Source organism: Homo sapiens, chromosome 3 (genome assembly GCF_000001405.40).
Source record: "Homo sapiens chromosome 3, GRCh38.p14 Primary Assembly".
Lineage (NCBI taxonomy): Eukaryota > Metazoa > Chordata > Mammalia > Primates > Hominidae > Homo > Homo sapiens.
In genome coordinates, this window is record NC_000003.12 from 159,703,495 (window position 1) to 159,728,080 (window position 24,586).

A 24,586-nucleotide genomic window follows, 5' to 3' on the forward strand; every position below is an offset into this window, starting at 1 on the left:
GAATTGAACTAGAGGTCCCACAGCAGGACATACCATAATATTTTAGGGAAAAAAAATAGATTCCCAAGCAATCTCACTTCTAGAACCAACCCCTGACACTTCTCTGCTTTCTAGTGCGCTGAAGCATTTCTGAGGCACCAGTGTCTCAGCATGATACAGTTCATTCATACCAGCAAGCATGTGGATGGCTTCCACTTAGGCTGTCAAATTTTTATTCTTGTTAAGAAACAAGGAATACAGGGATTCAGAGAACTTAAATTCTTTCTTACATGGTGAACTATATTTGGACAAAAGTCATTCTGGTTGGTCTACAGGTTGTCATTCTCCAAACTTACTCTTCATTCTCTTGCCTCTGTGTTTTGCAAGTTCTGAAGCCTCTATCTCATATTTCCTCACTTGGTAAACTCCCTCTCATCCCCACAATTAAAGCCAAAGGCTCACATCCTCTGAGAAGTTCTTCTTGACTCAAGGCCTTCCTTGTCTGCATCAAATAACCTTAAAGACTCTTTAAAGTAATTATTGTCTTATTTATCTATTTTGTCCACTACAGTTGAGTACAGGTGCCATGTCTTTCCTACGTTGAGTGCCAGAGGCTAAGCTGGGGCTCAGAAAACATGTTGAATGAACACATGAATATATCCATACTAAAATTGCACTAGGCCAGGCACAGTGGCTCACACCTGTAATCCTAGCACTTTGGGAGGCCAAGGCGGATGGATTGCCTGAGCTCAGGAGTTCAAGGTCAGCCTGGGAAACACAGTGAAACTCTGTCTCTACTAAAATGCAAAAACTTAGCTGGGCATGGTGGCATGCACCTATAGTCCCAGCTACTCGGGAGGCTGAGTCAGGAGAATCACCTGAACCTGGGAGGCGGAGGTTGTAGTGAGCCAAGATGGTGCCATTGCGCTCCAGCAATTTTTTCTAAAAAAAAAAAAAAAAAAAAAAAAAAATTGCACTAGAAGTTTAGTCCATTAGAACAAAGACTATCTTGTTCATTATCAGAGTATATAGATTCTGATAATTCCCAGGCACATGCTCTTTAAATAAGGAAAGTAGAAAAGCAAACATCCTGGCATCTAGCAGTCACTTAATAAATGGTTCTTGAATAAATGAGCATTTTTAATGAAAGACTATATATCATATTAGGCAATTCCACTGAAAATTAAAATGGGAATTTCCTTTAAACAAAATAATCTCTTCAACACCAAGAAAACCTCCATTCAAAAGTGTTCAGATTATGTTATTGAGGCCAAAAGAATTCACGGCACCAATAGAGATATAGCTTAGCAGCAACACAATTGTAATAATACAATATTTTCTTTCTTTCTTTCTTTTTCTTTCTTGCTTCTTTTTTATTCCTTCCTTCCTTTTTTCTTTCTTTCTTTCTTTCTTTCTTTCTTTCTTTCTTTCTTTATTTCTTTCTTTCTTTCTTTCTTTCTTTCTTTCCTTTCTTTCTTTCTTTTTTTACTTTTTTCTTTTGTTTTTTTAGAGGGAGTCTCCCTCTTGTTGCCCAGGCTGGACTGCAATGGCACAATCTTGGCTCACTGCAACTTCCACATCCCGTGTTCAAGCGATTCTCCTGCCTCAGCCTCCTGAGTAGCTGAGATTACAGGCATGTGCCACCACGCCCGGCTAATTTTTGTATTTTTAGCAGAGACAGGGTTTCACCATGTTGGCCAGGCTGGTCTTGAACTCCTGACTTCAGGGGATCCACCTGCCTCAGCCTCCCAAAGTGCTGGGATTACAGGCGTGAACCACGGTGCCCGGACAACAATACAATATTTTCAAAAATTAATTTTGGGTTTTTCTTTTCCAGCTTCCTTCTATGTGACCACATTGTCTTCAGGAAAGTAGGATGGTTAAATTGAGAATAAAAGAGAATAAATGGTACATGTTTGGCTCTGTGACTCTGAAGCATGCTTTTGAGAACCAAAGCACCATCTTGAGGGTCCCCAGAGATCATAACATAGAAATAGAAAGAGATTAGATGAAGGGCCAGGACCTCAGCTTCCCCTCAAGGAGAAGTGACAGATATAGAGAGAGAACAGCACTTGGAGTCAGGGATAGGGGAGAGGAGAACCTGACCTGGAGTCACTCCACTAAGAGGTTTGGTGGAGGTGAAGATGGTCAACATCAGAAGACCATGCAGAATTGTTGGAGTTCAGTAGCAGGATGGATGTGAGAATGCCGCTCTAAGGATATGACTTTTGTTTGTTTGTTTGTTTGTTTTGAGATGGAGTCTCGCTCTGTCGCCCAGGCTGGAGTGCAGTGGCGCGATCTCGGCTCACTGCAAGCTCCGCCTCCCGGGTTCAAGCAATTCTCCTGCCTCAGCCTCCCAAGTAGCTGGGACTACAGGCATGCGCCACCACATCCAGCTAATTTTTGTATTTTTAGTAGAGACAGGGTTTCACCATCTTGGCCAGGCTGGTCTCGGAGTCCTGACCTCATGATCCACCCGCCTCGGCCTCCCAAAGTGCTGGGATTACAGGTGTGAGCCACCGCACCAGGCCTTAGGATATGACTCTTGATCAGGGATCCAAAGGATGTGTAGGAGCTATGTAGGAGCTTTCATGGGAAGCTGAGATAACTAATTATAGCTTGAAAGAGCACTACACATAGCATGGGTGGAGGGGCTATTTTGCTATTCCTTCTATCAATAGGTGTTCTCATGCCATCTGTGGTTTTTTTCAGCCTAAGAACATTCACCTGTATCTCAAGACTTTTTTTTAACTCCACCTATACTGCCCCATATGAATATCCCCCATTTCTCAATTGTCCAGGATACCCTTAAGCCTCTTGCCAGTTCTTTAAATAGGGTGAATGAGAATTTTTGGCTTCCAGTGTGTCAAGAGGAACAGAGTGGTGTGGAAGAGAGAGGCACAGCACAGGTACTTAGGAAACACTGGGCAGCGATCAAACTACCTCCATTATATGTATTTTAAATGGAAGTTGAAGTTGTCTGCAAACTCTGTATAAATTAGCAGTGAGATTAAATTAGCAGAATATCACTTCAGAATCTAATAAATCTGGTCAGACCATATCTAATGTTGAGATCTTTTCCCTGAATACCAAACATGAGGGGCACACATTCAGGAGAATACAGACAGGATGATCACAGGAGAGTAGTCTAAAGCAATGGGCACACACAGTCTAAAGAAGAAAAAACTTGGGTGAAGTCTTTCATGAGTTGTAGGGTAAGGGAGAACACTGGAGCTCGTTACTATACTCCCCTGAATAGTGGCTGCCACTAGTGGTCAGACCTATTCAAAAATGGAGTGTTCAAGATCAGTTAGTTGACCAGTTGGTTAAAATGGTGCTAAAGGACCTCTAAAGGGTGAGTGGGATGGGGTGACTTCTGACTCAAGGCATCTTTAATTCTATGAAATAAAGACAAAGGATTCATTTTATCAGTTAACAAACATTTATTCAGCACTCGTTATGTGTCAGACACTCGTTATGTGTCCAGCACTCTTAAGTGCTGGAGATGTAATGGAACAAAATGAGACATGGCCTCTCTCATGCAGCTCACAGTCTAGAGGAGAGAAGGTAGACAAAATAATCACACAAGCAAATAAAATTTCAATGGTGGCAAGTGTTACAAAGGAGGAATGCACAGTGCTATGATAACTTTTATTTGGGGTATACCTGGGCAGGAATGTGAGGATGGCTCTTTAAGTATATGACTCTTTATCAGAGATCCAAAGGATGTGTGGGAGCTACCTAGGAGAAAAGGGAAGAGCGGTCAAGATCATTGAATAAAATACGCCTCATCAAAAAGCAATATGGTATAATCATTAAAAGATAGAGCTGAATTCCATACCTTCCACATATGAGTTGTGTGTCCTTAGGTAAGTTATTTAAGCTCTCAGCACTTAAGAGTTCTTATCCGCAAAATTAGAAAAATATATATTTCACAGGGTTAAGATAAATGAAATAAGGGGTGCAAAATGATTAGCCCAAGCCAATGTGTAGTGTTTATTAAACTTTAGTGATAATCCATAAATGGACATGAAATGACAATGACAAGTTATTTATTGAAGGTAGAACAAGAACATTTTAAACTACAAAACAGTCCATTCTTGGATCCTGAAAATCTCAGCATTAAGGCTGGGATTATAAAATCATTAATAGTAGGTAGTGTGAACCATGGTCCACAAATCTGTTATGAACGAGATCCCATAATTTTTCATTTTTCTTTGAACCTAATTAAATATTACTCTTGCCTAGATCAGGGAAATTTTCCCGTAGATCAAAGAATTGTTCTAGATCAAGGAATGCAATCTTAATGATTATTGGATTCCTTTGTCCCCCCTAATTTTCAGTTCATCAAAGTGGTGCCTGATAAATTCACTTTCCAAGGTAGCTTCACCCCTTTACAGCAGGCAACTCACCTGACCAAGGTTTCTGTCCCTTTTCTCATCTGAAGCACTCTCTTCTCTCTGGTATTTCTCCTCCTCTTCCTCCTTTTTCTTATCTTTCTCCCTCCCACTTCTTTCTCGCCTTCTATTCTTCCTCCCTCTCTTCAAAATATCTCTGTCTCTCCCTATATTCCAGAACACAAAGCCAGTGTCTTTGATGACCTAGGCTAGAACAGTGCCTGACACAAAGTGGGCCTGAGTCTTCCCAAAACTCCTGAGTCAGGAAACACAAAAAGGCTGGGTCCATTCTGGCAAAGGGGAGAGGGGAAAGCACAGAGAAGAAAGCACAAGACAAGAGTTCAACACAAAACCTACACACTCACTCCAAATGTAGGCAATTGTGATGAGACAAATGGGTCCTACATTCAAGATGAGTCTCCAGAAATGACTTGTTGGATCCTTTCCTCCAAGGCCAAGGAAGAGAGATGGTAAGATAAAAGGCTAAGTTGGAGGTCCCCCAGGAGAAGCCTAAATTGCTTAGATTTAGCATTTGAAGTGAGGACAGAGGTCAAGAAGATAAAATGAAGAGGGATGGACAGAAGAAAAGAGAGAGGATGAATTTTTTTTAAGTTGCATAGGTGAATTGAAATAGGCACGAATGAAAGTTTCTCTCTCTTAAAAGCTTTAAACCAGGGGCAGATGTTTTTAAACCAATCCTTAGAATCACTCCATCAATGAGGACTTGACAGGCACCAATGGTCCACTCAAAGAATTTGGTTGAGAAAGGTTTTATGAAACCTTCACACATTTACAGAGGTATGGGCAGGGTTAAGGAAACCAATGTGAGATGGTGACGTACGCAGGAACTAGCAAGCATGGAGAGCTGTCACCCTTAGGCCTAAAAGGCAATGAACCAAGTGACCTGAGTCTAAAGAGAACCTCAAGCCATGGAAGTAGGACCACCTAACTGGAGCTGCAATCTTCCAACACAGCTAATGTAGCCAGTGCCCTAATCATGACAAGGAATTGGAGTGGGGAGGTGCACAGGGGGATGAATACTCTTACATCTCTCTTCTCCCACTCCCTCCATTTTCTGCGAGTTCCTTCAACAGCTGAACCCAATTGGAAGCCAGAGAACAGGGAGCCTGGGTCATGTGATCCTCAAAGGTCAGCCTTCTCAGGCATAGAGTAGGTTAAAGAAGAGCAAATAATGGATCAACATGGGGGAAGGGTGCTGGTAAGTGTAGTGTACTTACTGGTGATGAACATTTATGCCAGCCAAAGAGATTGGCTCATTCTTGAAACTTAAAAAGTATACAAATGAAGAAAATATTAGTGGTTTCCAGGGATTGAAGAGGGGGTGGGGTTGGTGGGGAAGGGAATATGGCTATAAGAGTAACATGAGGGATTCTTGTGAGGATGAAAATATTCTGTATCTTGACTGTATCTCTATAAATATCTTAGCTGTGATATTGTTCTAGTTTTGTAAGATATTTCCTTATGGGAAACTGGGTAAAAGTTATACAAAAGCTCTTGTATTATTCTTACAATAGCATGTGAATTATAATTATTTCAAAATAAAATATTTAATAAAAAAAGGAAAAAAAGGTTAGCTTAGGATCAGATGTTGGATATTTCTCAGTCTTATGTCATCAAAAGAAGTATAATTATTTGCTTCCCAAAAAAACTGAGTCTTCCATTTGATTTACACAGAAATCTGTAGCTCCTGTGATTCTTAGCAATAATCACTGAACGAATTGATTTCTGCTGAAAGTTTCTCACTCTTTGACTTGACCATATCTTTAGAATATTTGTTAGACTGCAAAATCCCAAACACACCCATGAATAGCCTTGGTCTGTTAAGACACTGGAGGAAATGCATGATTGAGCACAGGGAAGCAGAGGGAACTAAGGAACAGATGTCTATTAGAAATAATCAAAGGAATAGAGCAGGGGAAGTGAAGGCAGTTTATTAAAATATTCATTCTCCATCTTGTTACAAGAAGATTTAATAGGGGTATTAAACATAGTACAATAAAAATTGCACACCTTGTAGAATGGCTATTATCAAAAAGATGAGACATAAGTATTGGCAAAGATGTGGAGAAAAGGGAACCCTTGCACACTATTGGTGGGAATGTAAATTAGTAGTACAGTCATTTTGGAAAATAATATGGAGATTCCTCCAAAAACTAAAAATAGTATTACCATATGATCCAGCAATCTCACTTCTGGGTATACATCCAAAAGAATGAAATCTGTACGTTGAAGAGATGTTCGCACTTCCATATTCACTGCAGTTCTATTCACAACAGCCAAGATATAGAACCAACCTAAGTGACCATCCACAGATGAATTGCTTTTTTTTTAATACGCTAGATATACCTAATGAAATAACATGCAGCCTTAAAAAAGAACAAAATTTTGTCATTTGAAACAACATAGTGGAATCCAGGGAACATTCTGCTAAGTGAAATAAGCCAGGCACAGAAAAAACTGCATGATCTCTCTGGTACCAGAGGCTGGTTGGGGAGGGGAAGGCAGCAGGCAGAGCGAGGGGAAATGTTAGTCAAAGGGTACAAAGTTTCAGTTAGATGGAGGGACAAGTTCTGATGATCTATTGCACAAGGTAACTATAGTTAAAATAATGTAATGTATATTTCAAAATTCCTAAAAGTGGATTTTAAATGTGCTTACCCCAAAGAAATGATAAGTATGTGAGGGGACAGACATGTTAATGAGTCTAATTTGTTTATTCCACAAGGTATACATGTACTAAGACATCATATTTTGCCCCATAAATATGTAATTATTTGTCAATAAGAAACAAAAATTAAATTTAAAGAAATCAACTCAAAATGGGTTAAAGTCTTAAATGTAAGATCTGAAACTATAAAACTAAAAGAAAAAAGCACAATGGAATTTTTTTTAAAATATGAATAAATCTGCTAAAGAGAAAAACAGGATAGTAACCATGAGACCCAGTCAGGAGTAGGGCTAGTACACAACATAAAAGCCTAAATAAAGCCATGTACAGTGTGAGAAGTCAGCCCTTCAGGTAGCCTCTGGCCCTACCTTTCTAACAGCCAATGCAAAAAGCAAGCGTGACCTATTACGTGATTATAAGATAAAACTTGACTTGAAAGAAATCTCTTTGTTGTGTCCCTATAGAGGTGACATTACAGTTTCCTCAACAACACCCTTAGGATTAATAACACTAGTTTCATTGTTCAGTAAAAACAGTTCTAACTGGGACCTAAATAATGCAGTTTAGGTGTCCAGTTTTCTGACTTTTATTAGGGGACATTTCGGAGTATGTTCAAAATGAAAGAATAATATTCTTTAAGAAATTTAAAAAATTAGCCGGGCGTAGTGGCGGGCGCCTGTAGTCCCAGCTACTTGGGAGGCTGAGGCAGGAGAATGGCGTGAACCCGGGAGGCGGAGCTTGCAGTGAGCCGAGATCCCGCCACTGCACTCCAGCCTGGGCGACAGAGCGAGACTCCGTCTCAAAAAAAAAAAAAAAAAAAAAAAAAAAAAAAAAAAAAGAAATTTAAAAAAAAAATGTTTTCCACCAAGCTTCGGGTAGGTATTAGTAAGGATTCAAACTCAAATGCCTACCGAGTGCAAGAAGGTAAAACAATGAAGAGAAATGGATGTCTGTTAAAAACAAACACTAAAAAATACAATGATAAAATAGCATTTGACAAATGGTCTCCATTTGGGGGTTACAATAAGGTGTGGTAGGGACTATGTAACCTAGAGCCTATTGCTCATAACCAGCCTATTGTTATCAGAACTGAAATAGGGCCAGATGTTGCTAGGTCTCTTATTTTTCCTGTGTATTAGAGTTCTATTACAGAAAACAGAAACCACTCTAGCTATTTTAAGCATAAAGGGCAAAGGGCTTCAACACAGGGAATTAGGTGCTTACTATGTGTTGAGGCCAGGCCTCCAGGACTTGCTGACAGGGAACAATGAAGAATCGGCTCTGAAGGAAGCTGCCAACTCTGCCTGAGTCAGAGGACCGGAAATCAGTAAGCTTCCCCCTGAACCGTTTGCTCTGGGAACGACCTAGGGATTAGGAAGATATTGCTGCTGCTGCTGCTGCTGCTGCTGCTGGTTCCAGAGCCATGCTTCACCCATCCAGGGTCACACTAACAACAAAAATAACAACAGCTTAAAGATGCTGCTGACACCACACACCTTTTGACCCTTACAAAGCTGGTGGCAGGAACGCTGCTACAAAAAACCCCAAGGCAGGCTTGATCTGATCATGCCTACCACCAGCAGCAGCCAGGACTGCTGCCTTTTAAATCTCACTTGAATGCATCTCGTTGGTCAAAGTTAAAGCTAAATCACATCTGACTGCCCAGCTTAGAAATGTCCCTTTCAGCTATCCAGCCTCTGGGGGTGGGGAGTGACAATATGTAGAATGTATGCAAAGTAAAAATCCATTTTATTCACCATATTGTATTTTTACGCAAAGATCATCTGAGCTTTTTAATGCTGGCAATTAATTCAATTTTTAAAAAATTAATGGATGGGCAGGCCAATAAAGTTGATGTCAAGAAAATGCATCTGTGATCCAGTCTGGTGGCTCATGCCTGTAATCCCAACAGTTTGGGAGGCTGAGGCAGGAGGATCACTTGAGCCCAGGAGTTCAAGACCAGCCTGAACAACATAGAGAGACCCTGTCACTACAAAAAAAAAAATTAATTAGCAGGTCATGGTGGCACATCTGTGGTCCCAGCTATTTGGGAGGCTGAGGCAGGAGGACCACTTGAGCCCAGGAGCTGAAGGCTGCAGTGAACTATGATCATGCCACCACTTTCTAGCCTGAGTGATGGAAAAAGGAAAGGAAAGGAAGGGAAGGGAAGAGAAGGGAAGGGAAGGGAAAGAAAGGGAAAGGAAAGGAAGAGAGAGAGGAAGAAAGGAAGGAAGAAAGAGAGAGAAAGAAAAAGAAAGAAAGAAGAGAGAAAGAAAGAAAGAAAGAAAGAGAGAGAGAAAGAGAGAGAGAAAGAAAGGCAGGCCAGGCACGGTGGCTCATGCCTGTAATCCCACTTTGGGAGGCCAAGGTGGGCAGATCACCTGAGGTCAGGAGTTTGAGACCAGCCTCAACATGGCAAAACCCCATCTCTACTAAAAATACAAAATTAGACAGGCGTGGTGGTGCATGCCTGTAATCCCAGCTATTAGGGAGGCTGAGGCAGGAGAATTGCTTGAACCTGTGAGGCAGAGGTTGTGGTGAGCCAAGATCGAGCCATTGCACTCCAGCCTGGGCAACAAGAGTGAAACTCCATCAAAAAAAAAAAAGAAGAAAGAGAAAGAAAAAGGAAAGAAAGAGAAAGAAAGAAAGAGAGAGAGAGAGAGAGAAAGAAAGGAAGAAAGAAAGAAAGAAAGAAAGAAAGAAAGAAAGAAAGAAAGAAAGAAAGAAAAAAGAAAAGAAAGAAAGAAAAAGGAAATGCATCTTTGAACAGATTCAGCTTCAGAACAAGTAACAGGAGGGTAGACTTTGGTTCACTTCAGTGCATGGAGGAAGATATGAAGCCCCAACCCCTCACTCCAGTTCATATATGAATAACAGTGTCTATAGTGTGCTATATTCAAAGCACTTACAAAGGTATTTATTATTACAAAGGTAGTAAATTATTGATAAAATATTTCAACAATACATAAATGCATATAGTAAAATTTAGTTTATCTTCTTTTACTACCCAATGCCACTCCCCACATGTAATAACCAGGAATAACATGAAATAAGTCAGACTTCTCTGTGTTGGAAGTTGAATCTGCTAGAAGCATCCTTTGATTCAGGGGGTCTATACAGAGAAAGCTAGAGCCAAGATTTTGGACTAATAAGAGAACCTAGCCAATACATATGGTGGGGGTTTAATTTGGCTGGTGAGTTTAGTGACTGAGGAATAGGTGGCCTCTCCAAAATGGATAGCTCATATTCAGCTGGGAACAAAGGGAATTTCTTATAACATATTTTACAGCAAAGCAAACAAATACAATGTTCTGTATCGAGGTGTTTTACAAGCTTCGTGGTAATCTCAGACTTTGTGGTTAATGGTCACATTTATTGTTAATATTTAAATAACTGGGCAGGCACAGTGGCTCATGCCTGTAATCCCAACACTTTGGGAGGCCAAGGTGGGTGGATCACTTGAGGTCAGGAGTTTGAGGCCAGCATGGCCAACATAGCAAAACCCTGTCTCTATTAAAAATACAAAAATTAGCCAAGCGTGGTGGGAGGCACCTGTAGCCCCAGCTACTTGGGAGGCTGAGGGGGAAGAATAACTTGATGCCAGGAGGCAGGGTTGCAGTGAGCTGAGATTGCACCATTGCACTCCAGCCTGGGTGACAGAGCGAGATCCTGTCTCAAAAAATAAAAAATAATAAAAAGGAAGGAGGTTCCAAGATGGCCGAATAGGAACAGCTCCAGTCTACAACTCCCAGCATGAGCCACGCAGAAGATGGGTGATTTCTGCATTTCCAACTGAGGTACCGGGTTCACTGGGGCTTGTCGGACAGTGGGTGCAGGACAGTGGGTGCAGCCCACGGACCGTAAGCCGAAGCAGGGCAAGGCATTTCCTCACCCGGGAAGTGCAGCGCAAGAAGTCGGGGAATTCCCTTTCGTAGCTAAGGGAAGCCATGACAGACAACACCTGGAAAATCAGGTCACTCCCACCCTAATACTGCACTTTTCCAATGGTCTTAGCAAACGGCACACCAGGAGATTATATCCCGTGCCTGGCTCGGAGGGTCCTACGCCCACGGAGCCTTGCTCACTGCTAGCACAGCAGTCTGAGACCAAACTGCAAGGCGGCAGCAAGGCTGGGGAAGGGGTGCCCGCCATTGCTGAGGCTTGAGTAGGTAAACAAAGCAGCTGGGAAGCTCGAACTGGGTGGAGCCCACCTCAGCTCAAGGAGGCCCACCTGCCTCTGTAGACTCCACCTCTGGGAGCAGGGCATAGCTGAACAAAAGGAGGCAAAACTTCTGCAGACTTAAACGTCCCTGTCTGACAGCTTTGAAGAGAGTAGTGGTTCTCCCATCATGCAGTTTGAAATCTGAGAACGGACTGACTGCCTCCTCAAGTGGGCCCCTAACCCCCGAGTAGCCTAACTGGGAGGCATCTCCCAGTAGGGGATGACTGACACCTCATAGGGCTGGGTGCCCCTCTGAGAGGAAGCTTCCAAAGGAATGATCAGGCAGCAACATTTGCCATTCTGCAATAGTTGTGGCTCTGCAGCCTCTGCTGGTAATACCCAGGCAAACAGGGTCTGGAGTGGACCTCCAGCAAACTCCAACAGACCTGCAGCTGAAGGTTCTGACTGTTAGAAGGAAAACTAACAAACAGAAAGGACATCCACACCAAAACCCCATCTATACATCACCATCATCAAAGACCAAAGGTAGATAAAACCACAAAGATGGGGAGAAACCAGAGCAGAAAAGCTGAAACTTCTAAAAATCGGAGCGCCTCTAATCCTCCAAAGGAATGCAGCTCCTCAGCAGCAACAGAACAAAGCTGGACGGAGAATGACTTTGACGAGTTGAGAGAAGAAGGCTTCAGAAGATCAGTAATAACAAACCTCTCTGAGCTAAAGGAGGATATTTGAACCCATCGCAAAGAAGCTAAAAACCTTGAAAAAAGATTGGACAAATGGCTAACTAGAATAAACAGCGTAGAGAAGACCTTAAATGACCTGATGGAGCTGAAAACCATGGCACGAGAACTACGTGATGCATGCACAAGCTTCAGTAGCCAATTTGATCAACTGGAAGAAAGGGTATCAGTGATTGAAGATCAAATAAATGAAATGAAGTGAGAAGAGAAGTTCAGAGAAAAAGAGTAAAAAGAAATGAACTAAGCCTCCAAGAAATATGGGACTATGTGAAAAGACCAAATCTACATCTGATTGGTATACCTGAAAGTGATGGGGAGAATGGAACCAAGTTGGAAAACACTCTGCAGGATATTATCCAGGAGAACTTCCTCACCTAGCAAGGCAGGCCAACATTCAAATTCAGGAAATAGAGAGAATGCCACAAAGATACTCCTCAAGAAGAACAACTCCAAGACACATAATTGTCAGATTCACCAAAGTTGAAATGAAGGAAAAAATGTTAAGGGCAGCCAGAGAGAAAGGTCAGGTTACCCACAAAGGGAAGCCCATCAGACTAACAGAGGATCTCTCAGCAGAAACTCTACAAGCCAGAAGAGAGTGAGGGCCAATATTCAACATTCTTAAAGAAAAGAATTTTCAACCCAGAATTTCATATCCAGCCAAACTAAGCTTCATACGTGAAGGAGAAATAAAATCCTTTACAGACAAGCAAATGCTGACAGATTTTGACACCATCAGGTCTGCCTTACAAGAGCTCCTGAAGGAAGCACTAAACATGGAAAGGAACAACTGGTATCAGCCACTGCAAAAATATGCCAAATTGTAAAGACCATTGATGCTAGCAAGACACTGCATCAACTAATGAGCAAAATAACCAGCTAACATCATAATGACAGGATCAAATTCACACATAACAATATTAGCCTTAAATGTAAATGGGCTAAATGCTCCAATTAAAAGACACAGACTGGCAAATTGGATAAAGAGTCAAGATCCATCAGTGTGCTGTATTCAGGAGACCCCTCTCATGTGCAGAGACACACATAGGCTCAAAATAAAGGGATGAAGGAAGATCTACCAAGCAAATGTAAAACAAAGAAAGCAAGGAGTCTCTGATAAAACAGACTTTAAACCAACAAAGATCAGAAGAGGAAAAGAAGGCCATTACATAATGGTAAAGGGATCAATTCAACAAGAAGCGCTAACTATCCTAAGTATATATGCACCCAATACAGGAGCACCCAGATTCGTAAAGCAAGACCTTAGAGACCTACGAAGAGACTTAGACTCCCACACAATAATAACGGGAGACTTTAACACCCCACTGTCAACATTAGACAGATCAACGAGACAGAAAGTTAAAAAGGATATCCAGGAATTGAACTCAGCTGTGCACCAAGTGGACCTAATACACATCTACAGAACTCTCCTCCCCAAATCAACAGAATATACATTTTCTCAGCACCACACTGCACTTATTCCAATATTGACCACATTGTAGGAAGTAAAGCACTCCTGAGCAAATTAAAAGAACAGAAATTATAACAAACTGTCTCTCAGACCACAGTGCAATCAAACTAGAACTCAGGATTAAGAAACTCACTCAAAACCACTCATGGAAACTGAACAACCTGCTCCTGAATGACTACTGGGTACATAACAAAATGAAGGCAGAAATAAAGATGTTCTTTGAAACCAATGATAACAAAGACACAACATACCAGAATCTCTGGGACACATTTAAAGCAGTGTGTAGAGGGAAATTTATAGCACTAAATGCCCACAAGAGAAAGCAGGAAAGATCTAAAATTGACACCCTAACATCACAATTAAAAGAACTGGAGAAGCAAGAGCAAACACATTCAAAAGCTAGCAGAAGGCAAGAAATAACTAAGATCAAAGCAGAACTGAAGGAGATAGAGACAAAAACCCTTCAAAAAAATCAATGAATCCAGGAGCTGGTTTTTTGAAAAGATCAACAAAATTGACAGACCACTAGCAGGACTAATAAAGAAGAAAAGAGAGAAGAATCAAATAGGCACAATAAAAAATGATAAAGGGGATATCACCACCAATCCCACAGAAATACAAACTACCATCAGAGAATACTATAAACACCTCTACACAAGTAAACTAGAAAATCCAGAAGAAATGGGTAAATTCCTGAACACATACACCATCCCAAGACTAAAATAGGAAGAAGTTGAATCCCTGAATAGACCAATAACAGGCTCTGAAATTGAGGCAATAATTAAGAGCCTACCAACCAAAAAAAGTCCAGGACCAGATGGATTCACAGCCAAATTCTTCCAGAGGTACAAAGAGGAGCTGGTACCATTCCTTCTGAAACTATTCCAATCAATAGAAAAAGAGGGAGTCCTCCCTAACTCATTTTATGAGGCCAGCATCATCCTGATACCAAAGCCTGGCAGAGACACAACAAAAAAAGAGAATTTTAGACCAATATCCCTGATGAACACTGATGCAAAAATCCTCAATAAAATACTGGCGAACCAAATCCAGCAGCACATTCAAAAGCTTATACACCGTGATTAAGTGGGCTTCATCCCTGGGATGCAAGGCTGGTTCAAGATACACAAATAAATAAATGTAATCCATTATATAAACAGAACCAAAGACAAAAACCACATGATTATCTCAATAGATGCAGAAAAGGCCTTCGACAAAATTTCAACAGCCTTTCATGCGAAAAACTCTCAATAAATTAGGTATTGATGGGATGTATCTCAAAATATTAAGAGCTATTTATGACAAATCCACAGCCAATATCATACTGAATGGGTAAAAACTGGAAGCATTCCCTTTGAAAACTGGCACAAGACAGGGATGCCCTCTCTCACCACTCCTATTCAACATAGTGTTGGAATTCCTGGCCAGGGAAATCAGGCAGAAGAAAGAAATAAAGGGTATTCAGTTAGGAAAAGAGGAAGTCAAATTGTCCCTGTTTGCAGATGACATGATTGTATATTTAGAAAACCCCATCGTCTCATCCCAAAATCTCCTTAAGCTGATAAGCAACTTCAGCAAAGTCTCAGGATAGAAAATCAATGTGCAAAAATCACAAGCATTCTTATACACCAATAACAGACAAACAGAGAGCCAAATCATGAGTGAACTCCCATTCACAATTGCTTCAAAGTGAATAAAATACCTAGGAATCCAACTTACAAGAGATGTGAAGGACCTCTTCAAGGAGAATTACAAACCACTGCTCAACGAAATAAAAGAGGACACAAACAAATGGAAGAACATTCCATGCTCATAGATAGGAAGAATCAATATTGTGAAAATGGCCACACTTCCCAAGATAATTTACAGATTCAATGCCATCCCCATCAAGCTACCAATGAATTTCTTCGCAGAATTGGAAAAAACTACTTTAAAGTTCATATGGAACCAAAAAAGAGCCCACATTGCCAAGACAATCCTAAGCAAAAAGAACAAGGCTGGAGGCATCACGCTACCTGACTTCAAACTATACTACAAGCCTACAGTAACCAAAACAGCATGGTACTGGTACCAAAACAGAGATATAGACCAATGGAACAGAACAGCGCCCTCAGAAATGATACCACACATCTACAACCATCCCATCTTTGACAAACCTGACAAAAACAAGAAATGGGGAAAGGATTCCCTATTTAATAAATGGTGCTGGGAAAACTGGCTAGCCATATGTAGAAAGCTGAAACCCGATCCCTTCCTTATACCTCATACAAAAATTAATTCAAGATGGATTAAAGACTTAAATGTCAGACCTAAAATCATAAAAACCCTAGAAGAAAACCTAGGCAATACCATTCAGGACATAGGCATGGGCAAGGACTTCATATCTAAAACACCAAAAGCAATGGCAACAGTAGCCAAAATTGACAAATGGGATCTAATTAAACTAAAGAGCTTCTCCACAGCAAAAGAAACTACCATCAGAGTGAACAGGCAACCTACAGAATGGGAGAAAATTTTTGCAGTCTACCCATCTGACAAAGGGCTAATATCCAGAATCTACAAAGAACTTAAACAAATTTACAAGAAAAAAATCAAACAACCCCATCCAAAAGTGGGTGAAGGATATGAACAGACATTTCTCAAAAGAAGACATTTATGCAGCCAACAGACACATGAAAAAATGCTCATCATCACTGGCCATCAGAGAAATGCAAACCAAAACTACAATGAGATAGCATCTCACACCAGTTAGAATGGTGATCATTAAAAAGTTAGGAAACAATAGGTGCTGGAGAAGATGTGGAGAAATAGGAACATTTTACACTGTTGGTGGAACTGTAAACTAGTTCAACCATTGTGGAAGACAGTGTGAGATTCCTCAAGGATCTAGAACTAGAAATACCATTTGATCCAGCCATCCCATTACTGGGTATACACCCAAAGAATTATAAATCATGCTGCTCTAAAGACACATGCACACGTATGTTTATTGCGGCACTTCACAATAGCAAAGACTTGGAACCAACCCAAATGTCCATCAATGATAGACTGGATTAAGAAAATGTGGCACATATACACCATGGAATACTATGCAGCCATAAAAAGTGAGTTCATGTCCTTTGTAGGGACATTGACGAAGCTGGAAACCATCATTCTGAGCAAACTATCTCAAGGACAGAAAACCAAACACCGCATGTTCTCACTCATAGGTGGGAATTGAACAATGAGAACTCTTGGACACAGGGTGGGGAACATCACACACCGGGGCCTATCGTGGGGTGGGGGGAGGGGGGAGGGGGGAGGAATAGCATTAGGAGAAACACCTAATGTAAATGACAAGTTAACGGGTGCAGCACACCAACATGGCACATGTATACATATGTAACAAACCTGCACATTGTGCACATGCACCCTAGAACTTAAAGTATAAAAAAAAATTAAAAATAAATAAATAAGTAAAAATTGAATAACTTAGAGAACATCTTGCCCTTCTCAGTAAATATTAGAAGGAGCTATAATTTATTATATTCTAAACACTATAGCAAAAAATTTAAATTTAAATAAGACCTTCGTTCCCCTAGCTTATCTTTCAGCAATGTTTCTTGTTTATTTTGCTCTTGTTTTCTTTTTTTTTCTTTTTTCTCTTTTTGAGGCAGAGTGTTACTCTGCCACCCAGGCTGGAGTGCAGTGGCACCATCTCGGCTCACTGCAACCTCTGCCTCCCGAGTTCAAGCAATCCTCCCGCCTCAGCCTCCCAAGTAGCTAGGATTACAGGCACCTGCCAGCCAGCCCAGCTAATTTTTGTATTTTTAGTAGAGACGGGGTTTTGCCATGTGGGCCAGACTGGTTGCAAACTCCTGACCTCAGGTGATCTGCCCGCCTCTGCCTAGCAAAGTGCTGGGATTACAGGTGTGAGCTACCACGCCCAGCCTATTTAGCTCCTGTTTTCAGCAGAAAGTAAACATTCTTTATCTTTCATTTTTTAAATTCATTTTGTATTTAATAATTAAATTCTAAAAGTGATAAAAATATATACAGTTTTGCTTTTTCTTTCTTAATAAAATACTTTGTAAAAGTTAGAAAATACCAGTATTGCTTTGAATACTGATATTCTAGTATTTTTCTGCTGTCAGCTAGACCCACTCTAAACAATGAAGGATCGATTTCTGAACCCATTTCAAATATGTGAAAGTAGAAGACATGATTGCATATATAATGATAAAAGCACAGTCTAAAGGGTATTATTAATAGCATACCATGGACACATAGTTGCTTCCTTCTGACCAAGAACAAATGTTAAGAGAAAACCAATAAATACATTTACAAACAGGATTTAGGGCCCACAAGAATAGAGTTTGCTTTTTAAATAGGAAATCTATGCACTGCTTTATTTCAAAAAGTTACAAATTTAGTGCTTGAAAAATCCAGCAGGTAAGCAGCAGGAGTAAGAAAGTCTGTTTTTGGAACTGTCTAATGGCAAATGAGCATGCTTCTATCCAGGAAGCATTTTTCCATGAAAGGGATGGAGAGAGAAAGAACTGGTATTTACATTCCATTCTACACATCTCAGTACTGCCTGTTCGTCTTCTTGAACTTTTCTCATAGTGATAGTCATCAGGGGCCTTCTCATTAACAGGATGCTTGCCATTTGGAAAGGACCACTCAGGCTCTGGCTTCTCCCTGTCACCTGCTTTCAAGGCTCTTCTTTGTTTCTATGTATGAGGCTGTTGAGCTCCTAATGATAAAAGTCGGTTGTGCAGCATATATTCACAGCCATGTTGGTAGGCACGAAGGACGTCTCACTGTCTTTCTTCTTGTTCTGCTGTTCTTCCCCAGCTGGGCTTTGGCATCCTCCATGGAAATGATATTATTTTTTATTTTAGCATTGATGCTGAGGTCCACCTTGGGGATGCCACTCAGCATCTGGCTAGAAAGCATCTCCTCTGTCTTCTTTGCTGAGGAAACACAAATGTTTTCTTGAAGTTCATAAAGGCAGTCCTCTGTGTTCTTCAGCTTGACTTTCTGTTCCTTATGTTCCATAGTCTCTTTCCTCTTCTTCAGCTCTGTCTCAACGTACTTTATTATGTCTGCATTCTCATCCCTTCAGTTGGTTTCTGCAGAAAACAATGTCCCCAGTGTCTTCCTCTTCACTGATTTTATCTTTGTCCCTTTTGTTTAGTTTCTTTAGGAAACTATGGTGGATACCTGTATGGTGGGTACCATACCACCTATTTTCATATGAAAAGGATCATCCACTAGAGTGGTCTCTTCTTGTACCTTCTCTTCCACCAACAGGGCCACAGCACTCAGCCTGTTGCGCCTCTTCCTCAAGTTCTACACCCTCTTGTCTCTTCCAGTTTTAATCAAACCTCCTCTGAGTTCTGCTCATCCTCTTCTGACTCTGAGTTGGCCTGGCACCAATAGAAAGTCTTCTCTTTCTATCTTATAGAGAGAATAATAATCGGCACTTCTCAAAGTATTCAGGTCAACAAGACATTTCTTCTCGAGGCATCTCATCAAATCCACAGGATCTATAATTTCATTTACATTTAGCCAAGGTCTAATCAAGGATTTAGGTTTCTAATTTTTATTTCCCCAATTGTTTAATGTATACATTTGAGACGCAATATTTTGTGTGTGTGCATGTGTATGTGTATGTGTGTGTATAGAGAGGGTGTGTGTGCGAGAGAGAAGCATGTATGTGTGCTTGTATGCATATCATTTTTTCAAGTACTTTCACATATTGTCTCGTTAAATTGTTGAAACAACCATATAAATAAACAGGTTGCCTATTTTTTCTCCATTTTACTGTGGCTCAAAGAGGTTTCGTGGCTTCATGATGATTAACTAGTAAAGTATCAGAACAGATTTGAACCCTCTGTTTCTGAGTCCAATTTTCTTTGCCCTGAACTACATGTCTTCATATAGAAATCATAAAATATAGCTGAAGGGATTTAGAATTCCTGGAGAAAAGTGGGGAGCAGGAAGACTAGATGTGGTTACTCCTCTCTGTGGCATCTCTTCCTCCCCTGGCTATAGCAATTGGAACCTGCTGTGGCTGCTGAGCAGAGCCCATGTGTGCTCAGTGCTTCCAGGAGCTGGGTAGGTGTTTTGCAGCCTGTTTTCTGACTCCTTGAGCAGAACCTAATTATTAATAGCTCATCCAAAATTTGAGATCCACTTTGTTTCTTTTCAGTCCTCTTAGAGATTGAAGAATTCTTGCTGAATCTTAATGGTGTTTTTCTTATCAAAATACTTATACATGTTAACTGTAATTAAGTTAGAAAATAATGGTTTCATAAAGATAAGAAATTAATAATAGCTGATAATCCCACCATCCACATATTTTTATTACTACAGTTTTGCTACATATTGTTTCTTTACAAATATAAGAATTTTTAAATGAAATGATACTATATATTTTTTGCAATGTTTCTATGTTTTCTCCAGAAATAGAAAAGTATCACAAGTCTAGTCCCATGTTATTAAGTAGTCTTCTATAAGAATATTTTTAGTAACAATCTCACTGCATGATGTCAGTGTTCTTCCATAAGAACATTTTTAATGATATCTTATTGCATGATGTCAGAGTTTGCTTCACATACTAGGTCAGAATTTTAAATTAGTTCTGTTCTTCATCATTTTAGATAGGCTATGTTTATTTCATTTCCTGTTTATTGTGAAGAACCCAGCCCTAACCCCATATAGTACCTGGAAGAAGCAACCCTGTACATCATAAGACACCTCTTCTCCCAAACAGCTGCTAGGATGAGGCTAATCTATTGGCACTCAGCAAACAATCAGTCCAAATCAATCAAGAATTTTTAACTAAGAGACCCAGCAAAAGCAGTAGAGAAGAGGCATTTCAAATGAAAGATACTTTGCAACCTAATACTTACAACCAAAAGAACCTTGACCAAAACACTGTGATAAAGCTTGAGGCTGAATCTTCATTTTCCATATTCATAATTTGTTAGAATAATTCTTAGAATTGGGATTACTAGCTCAATTTTATATGTTTTAATACATTTGATGCATATTGCCAAATTGCTACCTGGAAGAGTTGAACCAGTTTATTTTCCTCCTAATCACCACTAGAAGTTCCTGTATTTTTTCCAATTTGATTTCCAGAATGGTATTTCATTGTCTTAAGTTGCATATCTATGATTTCTGAGTGAAGTTTTAATATTTTCTATAGGGATTGACCATTTGTATTTCTTCTCTTATTGATTGCCTTTTCATATCATTTGCTCATCTTTTTTGTTGGAGTAATCATACTTTTCTCATTGATTTAAAATAACTCCTTATATGTTACAGATTTTAATCCTGATCAGGACCTTTTTTACTGGGAGCTAATGTGAGTTAGGAGGAAGGGCAGGGAAAGATGGGCCAAGGGTTTGGGTGAAGGTCTGCAGCCAAAGGAGGATTAGGTCAGGAGACAGTGCAGCTCCTGACTCCTCTCCCTCTTCCCTAGACCAGCGTCTTTTTCCCCAGGGCATTCATAGAGACTTTCAAAGGGTATATTGATATAGATAGTTTTTAGGGAATTAATTTATGGATTTTCAAATTTCCTATAACTTGTTCATAAAATTGACTGCCTGAGAAATCTTTACCCACCTCCCTTTTCCAGTAGTTTTCTCCCATTTCACAAAATCTTGCTATGGTGATTTACAATGGGATATAAAGGACTCTGGAGCTCCAAAAAAGTGATAATTTGAAATATCGGGGAGGATGTCAAGAAAATGAGTGACTCGAATCCCTGGGTAAAAAAAATTCCTTTGCAAGTCAAGTGGTTGCTAAATCTTTGCCTTCAATAAAATTTAAAGAAGACACAATTCAGTTGTCAGTTGACAGATTATTAAAAATGTTTTCTTATGAATCACCTTGTGCATGTAACTCAATGGGAATTCAGTGACATTGCTATAGCTGCCTTCATTCTCATCTGCACAAGCAAGATTTCTCAATGTTTTTACTGAGATGCATTTTAAGAGTTTGATTTTTTTATCTTAATAATTACCTGTCTAAAGTTGTAATATATTCATCTTGTTTTCATCAGTTATGCCCCATAATCATCAGGACAGTATAAGCTACCTAACTGTAATAAGTAAACCTAAAATTTCAATGGTTTAACACAACAAACTTGATTGCTCATTCATCTCAGTTTGATGCGGATGAGGAGCCCTTCTTGGGGACTCTCTTCCAAGGGTGACCAAGATACCTCTGTTTCCATCTTGTATCTCTGCCACCAGAGTTTCTAGTTCCACTTGGGAAGATGAGAGAGAGAGAGAAACTAAATCCACTTTTTCTTTTCTTTTTTCTTTTTTTTTTTTTTTTAAGACAGAATCTCCCTCTGTCACCTAGGTTGGAGTGCAGTGGTGTGATCTCAGCTCACTGCAACCTCTGCCTCCTGGGTTCAAGAGATTCTCCTGCCTCAGCCTCCAAGTAGCTGGGACTACAGGCACATGCCACTGCACCCAGCTAATTTTTGTATTTTTAGTAGAGACGGGGTTTCATCATCTTGGTCAGGTCTCGAACTCCTGGCCTCAAGGGATCCGCCTGCCTCCGCCTTCCAAAGTGCTGCAATCACAGGCGTGAGCCACCACGCCTGGCCTCAATACACTTTTAACTGCCTAGGATTGGAAACAAGACTTCATTTCTGCCCACTCTCCCAGTGGAAAACTATGAAATAAAAACTTCCTGGACTTTCAAGAAGAAAAAGGTGTGGTGAGCACAGTACTGTCTCTGCCACAGGTACCACTGGCAATAATCGCAATGACAGCTCCATCCAGGTGCATTGTCTTTTAACAGGGCCAATGGTCACAGGAAAGAAACAAATTGTAATTTCACTTTATATTTATTATAGAAAACTAAGGTATAATTATACTAAGGTAAAATTTAAATACTCCTAAGCACAGAAAGATCTTTTATTAGAATAAAATTTTGTAAAAGAATGGAAATAAGAATTCAAAGGGAAAAAGAAATGATGTAAAATTCCCACCTCTTATCAAGTGGATGATGGTGCTATACTACTTATATTCCATTAGCTATATTATAACAAGCTGAGTAATAGTATTACTTTTGAAAGCCAATATTTACAACAGACCATATATTACACCCTTGCAACCTTTGAAGTTTTGATGAAAACTTTTAGATTATAACATAAAACTGAATGAAGGTATATAGTTTTTCAAAATTCCCTAGGAGATATTGAACAAAAATGTTGAAGCCCAGTGTCTTTAAGGAAATACTCAGTTTGATTTCATTATTTAAAAGCTAACAAAAAAAATCAACTGTTAGTAGGACGGCTTCTGCTGTACTGGATTTGCAGCTCCACGTGTTGCAAACCACTGTCTTTTAGGACACCAATTTCTCAGGAAGTCTAGGGATAAAGAATTCCAGGTGCAGAAATGTTGCATTTTTTGGCAGAGTTCATACATGAAGGTAACAAGCAGAGCCGCAGGCTGACACGCCCTGCTTAGCTTTGTGGTCAAGCTACCTTCGGGTTTAAGTCTTCTGTTCTGAAGTCTGTGAATTCTTATTGCCTTGCTCATCAGCTGATCATATTGAACCACTCTCCCAGTGAAATAAAAATCCTACCACTTTCCAGAAGAATCTAAAGCAAGCTGTCTTTTTGACTGCTGAAGATGGCAGTTTTAGACAGGGGTCTAGCTCTCCTCCCTAAAAAGGCCCATTGACCTTTATTGCAAGTGAAATAGCTTATGGGAACAGTAAATGGCTAACCTTACTGTACTATAAAATAGGGCCCCCTGCAGCCTCTCCTGTCTCTCAGCTTTACTGAGAGGCTTATAATAGCATTTCTCATAAAAGCCTCTGTGCCATTTCCCAGGTGCAAACCTTTACAGAGAAGTACAACTAGGGAGTTTCCAAAATTGCTCGAAGAGAAGATTGTCTAAGGATAATGCCAACTATTTAGCAGGTGTTTCTTGACCGGAACTTGAGATCACTTTATTTTTTGCATTTACTTTTATGTAACCTGTATAAGTGGCAATTGGCGATATGCTGGAAACATAGGAGAGGAAGCTTACATTAAAAGCCCATTGAGGACACCACCTGATTTAGAGATCAAAAAACAAATCCTCTATGAACTAATGTCATTAAAGCCATGAAAAAGAAACTTTGGTCAGGCTCCAAAATATATTTTTTAAACCATCCTATAATGCTTGTTGAGCATCAATCATTTGCAAGGTGAACTGGCTGGTAGATGCTGCAGAATCTTTTCTAAAAAGAAAGATGTGAGCAGCTTAAAATTCAAGAATTCCGAGTTTTTTCCTAATCAACACCCAGTCACCTCTTTCATGTATCCTATTTTATCTTCATCACAGAATTAATTACTACCTGACATTTTCTTTTTTATTTATTTACTGGTCTGCCTCCGCACAAGAACATAAGTTCCATGAGTATTATGATTTTGCCTATTTTTTTCCACTGCTGTATCCCTGGAGTTCTGAAGAGCCCAGCATGTTGTAGACTGTCAACAAATCTTGTCAAATGACTGAATAAATTCCCACCCTAAGAAGGTGCATAAACTCGCAAGGGTTGGAAAATGAAGCCCCAAATATCAATAATATTCATTAACATATTTATTCAATTTTTTTAAAGTGCTTAAGCATAGCAATAAAGGCCTTGGAGGATTGAGGGATGTTATCTTATAGGATGAATCAAGTTTCCTGGAGGAAGTGATTAGGTTGGACTTTGATTTCCTGAGCTAGTGTGGGTCTGGGGAACAAAGCAAAGTGTAGCCAACACACAGGGAATATACATTTGGTTTCCTGCCTATATTTTTATGTGAAACAAAGGGCTGCTAGCAAAGCCTTCATGATAGTCAACAAATTAATAAGCCCCTGTTCAGTATATCTAGGCTGCCTCATGCACTGGTCAGTCCTTCCTCTAAATGGGTGTCCAGATGATTCCTGTTTCTGCTCTTTCAGGCTCCAAAAAACTTTTTTGTTGTTTTTTTTTTTGGTTTGTTTGTTTGTTTGTTTTTTGGTCACAGCCATGGCATCATCAAATTTTAAAATCCTGTTTTTGTTTTTTTTTTTTTTAAAAAGGCAATCTGTAATTTAAGAGTAACTTTAATAAATCTGGACCCATTGTTAGCTCCCCAGG

The 24,586-nt window shown here is 39.9% G+C and overlaps 2 protein-coding genes and 1 pseudogene across 7 annotated transcripts in view, besides 1 other annotated feature; 2 read left to right on the forward strand and 1 right to left on the reverse strand.

Annotated features, from left to right (window-relative positions):
• The window catches only part of IQCJ-SCHIP1 (IQCJ-SCHIP1 readthrough), an 828,041-nt gene that overhangs the window by 634,176 nt on the left and 169,279 nt on the right, over positions 1 to 24,586 (forward strand). The window lies entirely within an intron of this gene.
• SCHIP1 (schwannomin interacting protein 1) overlaps positions 1 to 24,586 on the forward strand; it is a 624,116-nt gene that overhangs the window by 430,251 nt on the left and 169,279 nt on the right. The window lies entirely within an intron of this gene.
• On the reverse strand, positions 17,856 to 18,746 carry C9orf78P1 (C9orf78 pseudogene 1; annotated as a pseudogene).
• Positions 24,046 to 24,340: a silencer, noted in NCBI's record as "tiled region #6431; HepG2 Repressive non-DNase unmatched - State 24:Quies, and K562 Repressive non-DNase unmatched - State 24:Quies". NCBI's record gives its function as "represses a minimal TATA promoter and a strong SV40 promoter by Sharpr-MPRA in HepG2 and K562 cells {active_cell/tissue: HepG2 | K562}" and the evidence as "EXISTENCE:reporter gene assay evidence [ECO:0000049][PMID:27701403]".